Genomic DNA, 14870 nt, shown 5'->3' with positions numbered 1-14870 from the left:
GGGAAGTACCCTTAGATACCAAGATAAACAGTCAACATCTTTTCCTTTGGGCCAGTAAGCACTTTTTAGTCACGTGGTAAGTGCAATTCACAGACTTTGGCTGCCATATGATGGTGTAGGCTGGTCTAGGTCAGGTGATTTATCCAGATTAGTTCAGCTCAGTTGAGCTAAGCATTTCCCTGAGATCTGTGTCTTGGCAAAGGGCTTCTTAATGTTTTGAGCTGCCCAGAATGTCATTCCCTATAGTGTGCCGATAGGCAGGTTAATAAAGAGTTCTTAGATTCCTGGACTCAGAAGACACCTTGAGGTGAACAGTGACAGTGGAAACAACATGAACGCCCCAGAGACTGGCTGGGTGACCTTAGGCAGGTAGCAACACTATGGTGGGCCTGGGCCTCTTTCTCATCTTGAAGGTGAAAATGTTGAACTTGAGGATTTGTACGATCTCATCCAGCTCTTGCAGATCAGCTGGTCTAGCGCTTCGCAAACTCTTGGATTTTACAGATCAGTATAGTTTCATCAATTTTTAAGAACTGACACAAGGTGTTTACTTTTTACTTTCCTAGGAAGGACAATAAAAATCAACTACTACTGCCATTTTTTAATCACATCGTTTCCAGAAGGAAAGAGCGTATTAACATAACAAAAACCAAAAAAAAGTGGAAGGAAATAACCTCAGCACAAAAGATAGTGCTCGTTAGGGCAAGTGGGATGGAACTTTACTTCAACATACATGCTTGCTGTGCACCGGCTCTTTCTTCCTCCTTTTTTTTTTTTTTTGAGATGGGAGTCTCACCCTGTCGCCCAGGCTGGAATAGAGTGGTACCATCTCGACAGAGTTTCGCTTTTGTTGCCCAGGCTGGAGTCAATTGCCAATCTCTGCTCACTGTAACCTCCGCCTCCCAGAGTCAAGCCATTCTTCTGCCTCAGCCTCCCCAGTAGCTGGGATTACAGGCATGGGCCATCACACCAGGCTAATTTTGTATTTTTAGTAGAGATGGGTTTCTCCATGTTGGTCAGGCTGGTCTCGAACTCCCGACCTCAGGTGATCTGCCCACCTTGGCCTCCCAAAGTGCTGGGATTATAGGCATGAACCACCGCACCCGGCCCCATTCTTCCTTTTTAAAAAGTGCATTATTGAGGTGTTATCTACGTACCATACAATTCACTCACGTTAAGTGTGCAATTCAATAATTTGTAGTAAATTCATGGAGTGTGCAAGTACACTACAATCTAATTTTAGAACATTTCCACCATCCCCAAAAGATCCCTGCGGTCACTCCTTTTCCCATCCACCAGATCCAGGCAACCACGAATCTACTTTCTGTCTCTATAAATTCCGCCTTTTCTGGACATTTCATATAATGGTATTATGCATTATGTGGCATTTGTGTCTGGCTTCTTTCATTTAGCATAATGTTTTCAAGGTTCTTCCATGTTGTAGCATGCACCAGTGAGTGCTTCATTCCTTTTTTTTTTAAATGGGGTCTTGCTCTGTTACCCATGCTGGAGTGCAGTGGCACGATCATGGTTCACTGCAGTATCCTTGACCTCCAGGCTCAAGCAATCCTCCTCCTTCAGCCTTAGGAGTATCTGGAACAGGCGTGCACCACGATGCCTAATTTCTTTTTTTTTTCTTGTAGAGACAGAGTCTCACTATGTTGTCCAGGCTGATCTCAAACTCAAGTGATCCTCTAGTCTCAGCCTCCTAAAGTGCTGGGACTAAAGGGATGAGCCACTGCACCTGGTGCTTCATTTCTTTTTATGGCTCAAAAACATTTCATTGTAAGGATAGGCCACATTTTGTTTATCCACTCATCTATTGATGGACACTTGGTTGTGTATGGGCATTTGGGTTGTTTCCGCTTTTTGGCAATTATAAATATTGCTGCTGTGAACATTTGCATACAAGTTTTTGTGTGGACCATGTTTTCAATTCTCCTGGGTGCATACCTACGAGTGGAACTGATGGGTGTGGTAGGCAGAATAATGGCTCCCAACGATGTCTACATCCTCAAATCCTCAAAATCGGTGAGCATGTTACCTTATATGCAAAAGGGATTTTGCAGATGTGATTAAGGATCTTGATATGTGGAAATTATTTTGGATTATTGGGGTGGGCCCAATGTAATCACAAGGGTCATGATAAAGGAAAGAAGGGACAAAACAGGGAATGTGTGAGAGTGATGCAGCTTGAGAATGGCTCATGTGGCCATTGCTGGATCTGACGATGGAGGGAGGCCATGAGCTGAAGAATGGGGGGGCCTCTAGAAGCTGAAAAAGGCAAGGAAACAGGTGTCCCTGTAGCACTTCCAGGAGGAATGCAGCCCAGCCAACACCTTGAATTTAGACCTTGGGTGAGCCCCATTTTGGGTTTCCAAACTTTAGAATGGAAGATAATGAATTTGTGTTGTATGGAGACACCAAATTAGTGGTAATTTGTTTCCGCAGTCACAGGGTCATGTAGTAACCTCAACTTTACTTTTACATCACTAACAGACCCATTTAGGAAGGCATCATTGGTTGGGATGAAGGGCACGGTCTGCCAGTGTATAGATTCAAATTCCAGCTCCAATACCTACTGTATGGAGGTACTTGAGTAAGTTACTTAACTTTTCTGTGCCTCAGCTTCCCCAGCTAATAATAATAATACTCCCCTCACACCCTTGTGAGGATTCATGAGTTGGTATATGCTGAGTGGGGCTTAGAATAATATCTGGCATATGGGCAGCCCTATACAGAATCATGTGTGTGATCATTATTCACAGTCTTCCAAGAGCGAAGGAACAGCAATAGCATCCCCACAGATGAAACCAAAGCTCTGCTTCATCCTTTCAAAAGATGTTTTCTTCCATCATCTCCATTCATATCTCAAAGTTCTTAAAACCAGATTTCCCCTAGCGCTTAAGCTAAAGGTTTCAAGAAATTCCCCTCCCTGGAAAATTATCTGTGACAGCCCTTTGCCCAAGCTCCTAGCTGAGGAAGACTCAGCTCTGTCAAAATCTTTTTTCTTTCTTTTTTTTCTTTTTCTTTCTTTCTTTCTTTTTTATTTTTAATAGACTGTTGCCTATGCTGGTCTTGAACTTCTGGCTTCAAGAGATCCTTCTGCCTCCTGAGTAGCTGGGATCACAGGCACACACCACCATACCCCCAGCTAATTTTTTTCTTTTCTTTTCTTTTCTTTTTTTTTTAAAGAGACTGTTGCCTATACTGGTCTTGAACTCCTGGCTTCAAGAGATCCTCCTGCCTCCTGAGTAGCTGGGATTACAGGCACACACCACCATACCTGGCTAATTATTTTTTCTTTTCTTTTTCTCTTTTTTTTTTTTTTGGAGAGACGACAGTGTCTCACTATGCTGCCCAGGCTGGTCTACCACTCAAGTGATTCTCCTGCCTCGGCCTTTCGAAGTGCTGGGATTACAGGCGTGAGCTACCTCACCTGGCCAAAATCCTCTTGACAGATTTTTTTTTTGGTTCCCTCAACCACAACTTGCCCAGAAATCACTGCTTAGCCCATGGGCAAGAATCTGGCCTGTGTTTTTATCCCGTGTAAGCCAGCAGTCCCCAAACTTTTTGGCACCAGGGACAGGTTTCATGGAAGACAATTTTTCCACAGACCCACGGCAGGGAGGGGGATGGTTTGGGGATGATTCAAGCACATTACATTTATTGTGCACTTTGTTTCTATTATTATTACATTGTAATATATAATGAAATAATTATACAACTCACCATAATGTAGACTCAATGGGAGCCCTCAGCTTGTTTCCTTGCAACTAGACGGTCCCATCTGGGGGTGATGGGAGACAGTGACAGATCATCAGGCATTAGATTCTCATAAGCTCCCTTGCATGTGCAGTTCACAATAGGGTTTGTGCTCCTGTGAGACTGTCATGCCCCTGGTGATCTGACAGGAGGTGGAGCTCAGGTAGTAATGCCAATGATGGAGAGCGGCTGTAAATACAGATGAAGCTTTGCTTGCTCGCTCACTGATCACCTCCAGCTATATGGCTGGGTTCCTAACAGGCCACAGAACTGGTCCATATAGGTACTTGTACCAGTCTGTGGCCTGGCGGCTGGGGATCCCTGCTGTAAGCACTTAGCACATATTGACCAAATATTCAATGAATAAATGAGAGTTCACCAGAAGAGCCATTTTGCTCCAACTTTGCTCTTTGCTCCAACTTCTGGTGACTTTCTAGAAGAAATGAAGTCCCATTCTGACTTTTGGCTATAGAATTTGGAACTGAAATAACTTTGGAGATGGTATACCCAGGGACTCTGGTTTTGCAAATGAGGAAATTGAGGTACCGAAGGAGGTATGATACCTAAGATCACACAGCAAATTAGCCACAAAGCAGTGGCTCTGGTTTCCAGCCCAGCTACCTCTCTAGATGTTGCTATGGGTAAATGAGTCTAAGACTCTGGGCTGAATCCGGGCTGACCTTCAGACATCTCCTGAAAGTTACTGCTTATTTGTTGAGATAAGTTCCTTGTCTCATTTTCTTGTATTTCCTCTCCCAAATAAAACTTCTTTTTTGAATTTAGGGTTCAGTAAATCAAAGAAATACTATCGATATTATCTATTGTCTTATCTTCTACCTTCAGGCCCTAATAAGCATAAAAAGACATTGGTAAAAGTCACTATTATTTGTGTCTGGTATCTGGAACCCATGACTTCCCAAACCAGGGCTGACTTGCAACAAGAGTGAGACTGATTTGTCATGTTCAGCAAAAACACATACGCAAGAATTCACATTAGTTCAAAAATAAAAATAGTTAACATGAGAAAAACAGGATTCCTCTTTTTTCTTTTCTCTGTATGATAAGGCATTTGATTAAGAGTGAGATTGCTGACTGGAAATTTAAAAAGTCAAAACAGGAAGCAGTAAATGACTAGCAAAGCATTGTATTCAATAAAACTCTCCTAAACATCACGCTCTCATAAATGAGTGGCAGAACCTGAATCAACCAAAAAACTCTGTAGGGTGGATGAATAGATTCAAGAGCCATCCTCTTAGGGATGCTTTATGCTAACAAACTCCCAGAGTCCCTTATCGTCCCTTATATCCTTTAGGGAAGGAGCTCCTGTCTTCATACTATTCTTACTCTTGAACAAATGATCTCATGTTACCAAAAAAAAAAAAAAAAAAAGAAAATTCTCTTTACTCAAGTCCTCTAAAAGGTCTCTTATTTCAGGTACTGCAGCAGTATGCAGACCATTTGCCCACATTTAAAATACTTTAATTCTTTTTTTTTGTTTGTTTCATTACATTGGCTGGGATTTCTAGTACAGTATTGCGTGGCAATGGGTGTAGTGGCGTTTTTAGAAATAATTTACCTTGTTATCATAAAATATTTCAAACACACAACAAATGTATGAGTCTGGGCGCGGTGGCTCATGCCTGTAATCTCAGCACTTTGGGAGGCGAGGTGGGTGGGTCACTTGAGGTCAGGAGTTCAAGACCAGCCTGGCCAACATGGTGAAACTCCGTCTCTACTAAAAATACAAAAGCTAGCCTGGTGTGGTGGCACGCGCCTGTAATCCCAGCTACTCAGAAAGCTGAAGCAAGAGAATCACCTAAACCCTGGAGGTGGAGATTGCAGTGAGCTGAGATCACGCCATTGCACTCCAGCCTGGGCAACAAGAGCAAAACTCTGTCTTAAAAAAAAAAAAAAAAAAAAGGAGGAATGGTCCAGGTGCAGTGGCTCACGCCTGTAATCCCAGCACTTTGGGAGGCCGAGGTGGGCGGATCACCTGAGGTCAGGAGTTCAAGACCAGCCTGGCAAACATGGTGAAATCTCGTCGTGGTGGCACATGCCTGTAATCCCAGCTACTTGGGAGGCTGAGGCACAAGAATCGCTTGAACTCTGAAGGCAGAGGTTGCAGTGAGCTGAGATGGTGCCACTGTACTCCAGCCTGGGCGACAGGGCGAGACTCCTATCTCAAAAAAAAAAAAAAAATTGAAGAAGAAAGAGCCAGTGCACAGCAAGCATGTATGCTGAAGTAAAGTTGCCATCCCACTTGTCCTAGCAAGCACCGTCTTTTGTGCTGAAGTTATTTCCTTCCATTTTTTTTTTTTTTTTGGTTGTTGTCATTGTTAATATGATCTTTCCTTCTGGAAATGATGTGATACAAAATGGCAGTAGTAGTTGATTTTTATTGTCCTTCCTAGGAAAATAAAAAGTAAATACCTTGTGGCCGGGCATGGTGGCTCATGCCTGTAATCCCAGCACTTTGGGAGGCTGAGGCAGGTGGATCACCTGAAGTCAGGAGTTTGAGATCAGCCTGACCAACATGGTGAAACCCTGTCTCTAGTAAAATACAAAAAAATTAGCCCGGTGTGGTGGTGGGCGCCTATAATCCCAGCTACTGGGGAGGCTGAGGCAAAAGAATTGCTTGAACCTAGTGGGGTGGAGGTTGCAGTGAGCCAAGATCACGACACTACACTCCAGCCTGGGTGACAGAGTGAAACTCCCTCAGTGCACTCCAGCCTGGGGGACAGAATGAAACTCCCTCTCAAAAAAAAAAAAAAAGTGAACACCTTGCGTCAGTTCTTAAAAAAAACTATACTGATCTGTAAAATCCAAGAGTTTGCAAAGCGCTAGACCAGCTGATCTGCAAGAGCTGGATGAGATCCTATGAATCCTCAAGTTCAACCTTTTCACCTTCAAGATGAGAAAGAGGCCCAGGCCCACCATAGTGTTGCTACCTGTCCAGGGTTACCTAGCCAGTCTCTGGGGCGTTCATGTTGTTTCCACTGTCACTGTTCACCTCAAGGTGTCTTCTGAGTCCAGGAATCTAAGAACTCTTTGTTAACCTGCCTATCGGCACACTATAGGGAATGACATTCTGGGCAGCTCAAAACATTAAGAAGCCCTTTGCCAAGACACAGATCTCAGGGAAATGCTTAGCTCAACTGAGCTGAACTAATCTGGATAAATCACCTGACCTAGACCAGCCTACGCCATCATATGGCAGCCAAAGTCTGTGAATTGCACTTACCATGTGACTAAAAAGTGCTTACTGGCCCAAAGGAAAAGATGTTGACTATTGATCTTGGTATCTAAGGGTACTTCCCCAAGGCTCAGCAGAGTGGAACACATAACTTGTTACCTCTGGGGTTGGACCTTGTCACCACAATCTCAGTTTCACTCTTGCTACTGGATATATACCACAAATGCACTTGTAAAACTGCCCAGACTCTTAAAGCTGAAGGCACTTGGGGAATACAAAGATGAAACAGGTGTTGGTGTCTTTATCTATTTTTTTCCACCCAATCCTATTCCAGAATGGATTGAAGGCAGCTTTCAAGGATGCATAAAATAAAAAGCATAAATTAAAAGAGAAAGTGATACTAAAGTTATGTAGAAATGGAAGAAATGTTCCTGACTTGAAGCCCAAGTTTTTATTAAAAATATCTATAGAGAATATTCAACTAAAATTTTTATACCTGTTAGCTCTATAGTCCAAGGTTTTCTTTTCCTTTTTTTTTTAATCAACCTTATTAAGGTCAGGCATGGTGGCTCATGCCTGTAATCGCAGCACTTTGGGAGGCCAAGGTGAATGAATTACTTGAAGTCAGGAGTTCGAGATCAGCCTGGCCAACATGGTGAAATCCCATCTCTACTAAAAATAAAAAAATTAGCCAGGCCTGGTGGTGGGCGCCTGTAATCCCAGCTACTTGGGAGGCTGAGGGAGGAGAATCGTTTGGACCTGGGAGGCAGAGGCTGCAGTGAGCAGAGATTGTGCCACTGCACTCCAGCCTGGGCAACAGAGCAACACTCCAACTCAAAAAAAAAAAAAAAAAAAAAAGCTGGGGGCGGTGGCTCATGCCTGTAATCTCAGCACTTTGGGAGTCTGAGGTGGGCAGATCATGAGGTCAGGAGATCGAGACCATCCTGGCTAACATGGTGAAACCCCGTCTGTACTAAAAAAAAATACAAAAAAATTAGCCGGGCATGGTGGCTGGCACCTGTAGTCCCAGCTACTCGAGAAGCTGAGGCAGGAGAATGGCATGAACTCGGGAGGCTGAGCTTGCAGTGAGCTGAGATCCCATCACTGCACTCCAGCCTGGGAGACAGAGTGAGACTCCATCTCAAAAAAAAAAAAAAAAAAAAAAAGATGTTCTTTATTAGATGTAGTATATCCAGACAATGGAATATTATATTATTCAGTGCTAAAAACACATGAGCTAGGAAGCCAGGAAGAGTCATGGAGAAAGCTTCCATGCATATTACTAAATGAAAGAAGCCAATCTGAAAAGGCTGCATACTACATGACTCCAACTATATGACATTCTGGAAAAGGCAAAACGATAGAGACAGTCAAAAAAATCAGCAGTTGCCAGGGGTTGGGAGAGATGAATAGGCAGACCACAGAGGATTTTTGGGCAGTGAAACTGTTCTTTATGATACTGCAATGGTGGGCACATGTCATTGGACGGTTGTCAAAACCCGTAAAACATACATCACCAAGAGTGAACCTTCATATATACTACTGACTTTGGATGATAATGAAGTATCAGTGTGGGTGCATTGATTGAAGTAAATGTGCCACTCAGATGTGAGATGTTGATTGTAAACAAGCTGGGGGTGGGGGGAGGAATATGGGAACTCTGTGTTAAACACAGAGTTTAAGAAAAATGGAACTTTCCACTCAATTTTGCTGTGAACCTCAAACAGCTCTGGAAAATAAAGTCCTTTAAAAATGAATAAAAAGAATAGTTAATGCAACGAAAAATCTATCATAGATCTGTGCTTTTAGTATCATGCATCTGTTGTGATAACTCCAAGTGTAGAAAATGCTCTTGGTGGCCTGCCCAGGTCCCCTGTCCTGGGCCCGTGCACTGCCTCTTCCCTGCTGTGGTGTTGGCTGCTATAAGCACACTCTGCACCCCTCTCAGGCTGGTTCTCATTCTGCTCTTGGTTGTGGAAGCTGTCCCCCAGATCTCCACACAAGATGGTTGGGAGGCTACACCCGCCTTATTGGCCAACGACTGATGGATGCGGGGGTTGTAACAGCTCAAACTTCTTGCCTCTGGGCAGAAGGATCTATCTCTATGGTACCAGCAGCCATGCTCCAGAGCTCCCTGTGGGATCAGGCTGAGGCCCACCTCCTCTGGAAGCTTCGTCTTTACAGAGCATCTTCCTTTGCCCTCTTCCATTTCCCTCCCTTCCCTCTAGGTTTCTCCTGAGAGCATGCCCTCCATAACTCACTTGCAACACATCTCAGGCTTTGCATCTACGGAAGTGGCCTCTGACAGTTCCTATGGCCTGTCCCTGTCTTCCTAGTATTAATATATCCTGATTTGTCTTGCAAGATATTATATGGAAGTTCATCATAGCAAAGATAGGGAATTCATTGTCCTCAGTGTTGCTTGACACAAACAAAAAATCATTAATGTTTTTCTCCATTTGTGCAGCTAAAAGCTGCACACACCTCACTGCACTTGACGCTGACTCCACAGAGTCAAGTCTTTTCCTCCTAAGAACAAGTTTCTGCATTAAGAATGATTTAGGGGAGAAAAGTGGAAGTATAAGGAGACAGAACAGAGGTGGCGACATACAATGTGTCTAGAAGTGAGTCCCAAAACTGTGGGCTTCCCTTGGGTGGGTCACAGATTTTGCAATAAGCCGTCTATTTATCAACACACACACACACACACACACACACACACACACACACACACACACACATGATCATTATACATATCACCTATAAATTCAGTGTCTCCCTTTTGGAAAATAACTATATTAAGAGCAGTCAGGAATTTCTTCCTCTTTTCTTTTTCTTTTTTCTTTCTTCTTGAGACATGGTCTTGCTCTGCTTCCTAGGCTGGAGTGCAGTGGCTTGATCATGGCTCACTGCAGCTTTAACCTTCTGGGCTCAAGTGATCCTCTGGCCTCAGCCTCCCGAGTAGCTGGGACCACAGGCATGTGCCACCACATACTGCTAATTTTTTTGTGTTTTTATAGAGGCAGGGTCTCACCGTGTTGCTCAGGCTGGTCTGGAAGTACTGGCTCAAGTAATTCTCTTGCCTTGGCTTCCAAAACTGCTGGGATTGCAGGCATCAGCCACCATGACCTGCCAGGAATTTCTTCCTCCATCTTTCTAAGAAACATACTCCACCATGTTTGATGGTGATGCAACATGTTCCGTAGGATCCTTAGGGAAGAAAAGCCCCAGCCCAGCTCAATTCCTCTGCTCTCCAGGCTCACCTCCCTTAGAGATGTTGGGTCATTCTTGTTTAATTTCTCTGAGGTTCCATTTTCTCATCTGTAAAATGGGAATAGTAATAGTCCCTGCTTCACAGATTTTTCATGAAGATAGGCTGATAAAATAATACTCTGCTAGTAGGTTCTGAGCTGGTATTAAGAACAAAACAAGAGCACTTATTATTCCTCTAATACCAAAGGGGGAAAATCATTTTAATATTGGGCTCATGGGGTCTTTGACTTCAGGCCTGTCTCCTACCTACCCTAAACCTCCTCCTATTCTGTCATCATCTGATACTTGTTGAATACTCATGAGACTTCCTTAGAAGACTGATGTGCCTCTCCGTAGACCTACTGTGGGATGACCATTAATGCTGGTGACAGAGGCCTGTCCCCTCCTATTCTCCCAAGAGTGAGCTGCCAGCCTGCCTGAGTGCTCTGAAACAGAGGAGCTGCAATTCAAACTTCACCCAGTTCTCTGTTTTTTTCTCTCAAAAGGGTTGAAAATATGTGAAGTAACCCTCAGCTCTGCAAAAGATATTGTGTTTCACTATTTCCTTTAACTGCTCTCTGGATCTGGAACCCCATTGTAGGGAGAAAGAGCAGGGCATGGGGAAGAGGTGCCTTGAAGCTGCCACTTAGAGACAGCTCAGATTCCACTGGTTTAAATCACTTTCCTTCAGATTCCTTTGGAAAAGTGGATTCGTCTTTCAGGCTGTCTTCCTGGCAGCCCCCTTACTTCCTTTAGTGGTAGAACTCCTGAGCTTTAGCCAGGCCCATGGCTTCCCAATTAAAGGCTACATTTCCCAGCCTCACTTGAAGCCAGGTACAGCCATGTGACTCAGCTCTGGCCAATAGGATAATATCCATACAGTCTCTATGTTGCTGCCTGGAAAGTGCCATGGTGTGGAGCCATCTTAGACCAGATGAAGCCAACAGTCTAGGAATGGAAGAGCTCAAGGGAGAACGAACCTGAGTCTCCAACACCAAAGAGCTTCTCCATTAGCTCTGGACTGCTAATACTTGGATGCTTCACAAGAGAGAAACCTTCTATCTTGTTTATGTCACTGTCACTTTGGTCTCTGTCATGGTAGCTGACTCTGCATTCTGACTAATACACTTCCTGTTCCCACTTCTCTTTTCCAAGATGGCATCTGGAGACAGGGTGGGCTTCTGTAGCCTCGTGGCAGTGGGAAGAGGACCCTTTGTCACATGCTGTTCTTCTAGGTTTACTGGTCTCTGATGTCTTGAGACTTGCCCGGTCTAGTTCCTGGGCCCTGGTGCTTGCTTGGCTGGTCCCACTTGGGTTTTCAAGGTGCTGAACTGAGACTTGCTGCTGGCACCATGCTGCACACCACAGAGTTGTTCTGAGCTTTTGTGCTTTGCAAGGATCCAGAAACCCTTAGCCAGCTTCTCCAAACTACTCTGGAGTGTGTAGGTCTCTCTTGGCTTCCCTCCAGCACACCTGCATGCCTGCCTAGGCACATTCCTAAATTCTCTAAAAATAGCAATTAAGCATAATAGCTTTAAGGTAGGTGGCAGTGAATTTTTTGGCCAAGGTAGGAATAATGTTTTATTCCTACCTTTTGTTGCCATTTTCCCTCATACGAATGGACCCCCTGGCATTTAGCCAAGAGTCTATTATATTCACTTTTTCCAAAAGGTGTGAGTGGCATTTTGAATGGAGGAGTTGAATAGTCCTGTTTGCAGACCCTATATAGGAAAGATAATATGTACAGTAGTCCCTGTCTCCTGGAATAAGTTGGTGTTTGAGAGATCAGCTGGACACGATCGGCAGGGAGAGCACGCATGTTTTTATGAAGAATTATGCTGAGGTAGGTAACGAATGGGGAAGAAATTTGAGCTTTGGAGAGGGATGCCCGATATCCCTCAGAGAATAAATGTTGAAAAGTATCTTGCTGAGAAGATTCAAAGGAGGGGCTACAAAGTAGAAGGTATCAATATATTGAATAAGGTGAGAAGCAGAGGGGTGGAAAGAAAGTAAATCATGAGAAAGAGCTTGGCTGAAGTAATGAGGGCTGTCCCTGAAGGCTTGCAGTAGTATAGCCCAGGTAAGCTGCTGGGACTGATGGGTGTCAGGGTCAGTCCAGGTAAAAGCAAAGAGAGGCTGGGATGAGGGGTGCAGGGGAATAGTGAAAAAGGCATCTGTAAGATCAAGAACGGAATAGTGAGTTGTGGAGGAAGGTATTGAGGACAAAAGAGTGTATGGGTTGGGCACCACAGGGTGGATAGGCAAAACAATTTCCTTGATAAGTCACAGATCCTGAACTAACCTGTAAGACTTGTCCGGTTTTGGGGACAGGCAAAATGGGGGAATTGTAAAGAGAGTTTGTAGGCTATAGAAGCCCATGCTGTAGCAGGCGAGTGATAACAGGCTTCAGTCTTTTTAAAGTCTGCTGTCAGATGGATACTGGCACTGAGCTGGGTAAGGGTGATTAGGTTTTAATGGAATAGTAATGAGCGTGTGATTGGTTTCCAGGGAGGGAGTAGAAGGGTCCCATACTTGTGGGTTAAGGTCGGGGGATACAAGGGGAAGACGCGAAGGAGGCTTGGGTTGGGAAGAAGGACAGCAATGAGGTGTGGCTGTAGCCCAGGAATAGTCAGGGAAGCAGATAATTTGGTTAAAATGTCTCTGCCTAATAAGGGAACTGGGAAGGGGGATAACTAAAAAGGAGTGCATAAAAGAATGTTGTCCAAGTTGACACCAAAGTTGGGGAGTTTTAAGAGGTTTAGAAGCCTGGCCATCAATACCCACAACAGTTATGGGGGCAAGGGGAACAGGCCCTTGAAAAGAAGGTAATGTGGAATGGGTAGCCCCTGTATTGATTAAAAAGGGGACAGACTTACCCTCCACTGTGAGAGTTACCCAAAGCTCAGGGTCCATGATGGTCCAGGGGGCTTCCGAGGCGATCGGGCAGCGTCAGTCTTCAGCCACTAAGCCAAGCAGATCTGGGAAGGAGTCAGTCAGAGAGCCTTGGGCCAGAGCTTTAGGGGCTCTAGGACTGGCTGCTGGGTGAGCTGGGCAGTCTGATTTCCAGTGGGTCCCTGCACAGATGGGACACAGCTTGGGAGGAATCCTAGGCTGTGGGCATTCCTTGGGCCAGTGGCCAGATTTCTGGCACTTGAAGCAAGATCCTGAGGGAGGAGGTCCTGTAGGAATGCCTGACTGCTGTGGCTTCGGCGTTTTGAAGTTTTTTTTGGGCTGGAGGTGAGGCTGGGTTTTGTCTCACCGCAGAGGCAAGTAATTGTAACTCAGAACTATGTGTTGCCACTTGGCTGCCTCTTCCTTATTAGTGTACACCTTGAAGGCAAGATTGATTAATTCCTGTTGTGGCGTTTGAGGGCCAGATTCTAATTTTTGAAGCTTTTTTCTAACGTCAGGAGCTGACTGGGTGATAAAATGCATATTGAGAATAAGACAGCCTTCTGGCCCCTCTGGGTCTAGGGCTGTAAAGCGTCCCAGGGTTGCTGCCAAACGAGCCATGACCTGGGCTGGGTTTTCATCTTTACCTTGGGTAGTTTCCTTAAGTTTGTCATAATTAACAGCTTTGTAAGCTGCCTTTTAAAGCCCTTCAACTAGGCAGGAAATCATGTAATCTCACCTAGCTATACCTGGGGAATCTGCCTGATATTCCCGTCGGGGATCTTCTCAGGAAACTGCCCTGATGCCTTCTTGAAGGTCTGGCTCATGACGCTGGCAGGTGTCTGCATGGGACTGGACCAGAGAAAATACTCTTTCCCATTCATTTTGGGAGAGGGTAGAAGTTAGGATGATATTTAAGTCACTCCAGGTTAAATTGTAGGACTGAGTTAAATATTGGAATTCTTGTATATATTTGGTGGGGTCTGAGGGGGAAGGAGCCTAAGCATTGATTAACTTGGGAAAGGTCTGATAGAGAAAATGGCACATGCGCTCTGACAATGCCCTCAGCTCCAGCCACCTCTTGAAGAGGAAATCGCTGGGCAGGTGGAGGATTATTTGCCACAGAACGAAATTGTAACCCGGGCCGGGTGTGGGGAGGGGAGGTGACAGAAGGGTTATAAGGTGGAGGAGCGAAGGCTGAGGAAGAATTGGGACTTGATTCAGCCTGCCGAGGAGTGGCCTGGGGAGGGGGAGAGAGGTCAGAGGGGTCTGCAGAAAAGGAGGATTCAGAGGACTCTGAGGTTGGGGTAGAGACTGAAGAAACGGACGGGAGAGAAAGAAGAAAGATTTAGGATGAATCGCATCGGAAGCAAAGGCTAGGAAGGGACCAATGTGTAAAGAATGCCTGGATGTAAGGCACCTCAGACGATTTGCCCATTTTATGACAAAATTACCTAGATCTTGTAGGATGGACAAATTGAAAGTGCCATTTTCTGGCCATTTAGAGCCATTATCAAGTTTGTATTGGGGCCAAGTGGTGTTGCAAAAGAAAATAAGACACTTAGGTTTTAGGTCAGGTGAGAGTTGAAGAGGTTTTAAGTTTTTAAGAACACAGGCTAAGGGGGAAAAAGAAGGAATGGAGGGTGGAAGGTTGCCCAAAGTAAAAAGGTAAGTTCAGAGAAAAGAGGGGGTAGAGACAAGAAGAAAAGGGGGAGGGGTGGTACTTGCCACCCAGGAGTGGTAGTACTTGCCACCGAGGTGGAGGATC

General features: G+C 44.8%; 1 annotated feature.

Moving 5' to 3' along the window:
• Window positions 7096–7296: a silencer, noted in NCBI's record as "peak2238 fragment used in MPRA reporter construct". NCBI's record gives its function as "represses an SCP1 promoter by STARR-seq MPRAs in K562 erythroleukemia cells {active_cell/tissue: K562}" and the evidence as "EXISTENCE:reporter gene assay evidence [ECO:0000049][PMID:32103011]".

The sequence above is a fragment of the Homo sapiens genome, chromosome 14, assembly GCF_000001405.40.
Source record: "Homo sapiens chromosome 14, GRCh38.p14 Primary Assembly".
Lineage (NCBI taxonomy): Eukaryota > Metazoa > Chordata > Mammalia > Primates > Hominidae > Homo > Homo sapiens.
Note: the sequence above shows the minus strand (reverse complement) of the source record. Positions and strands in the feature narration are given on the sequence as shown.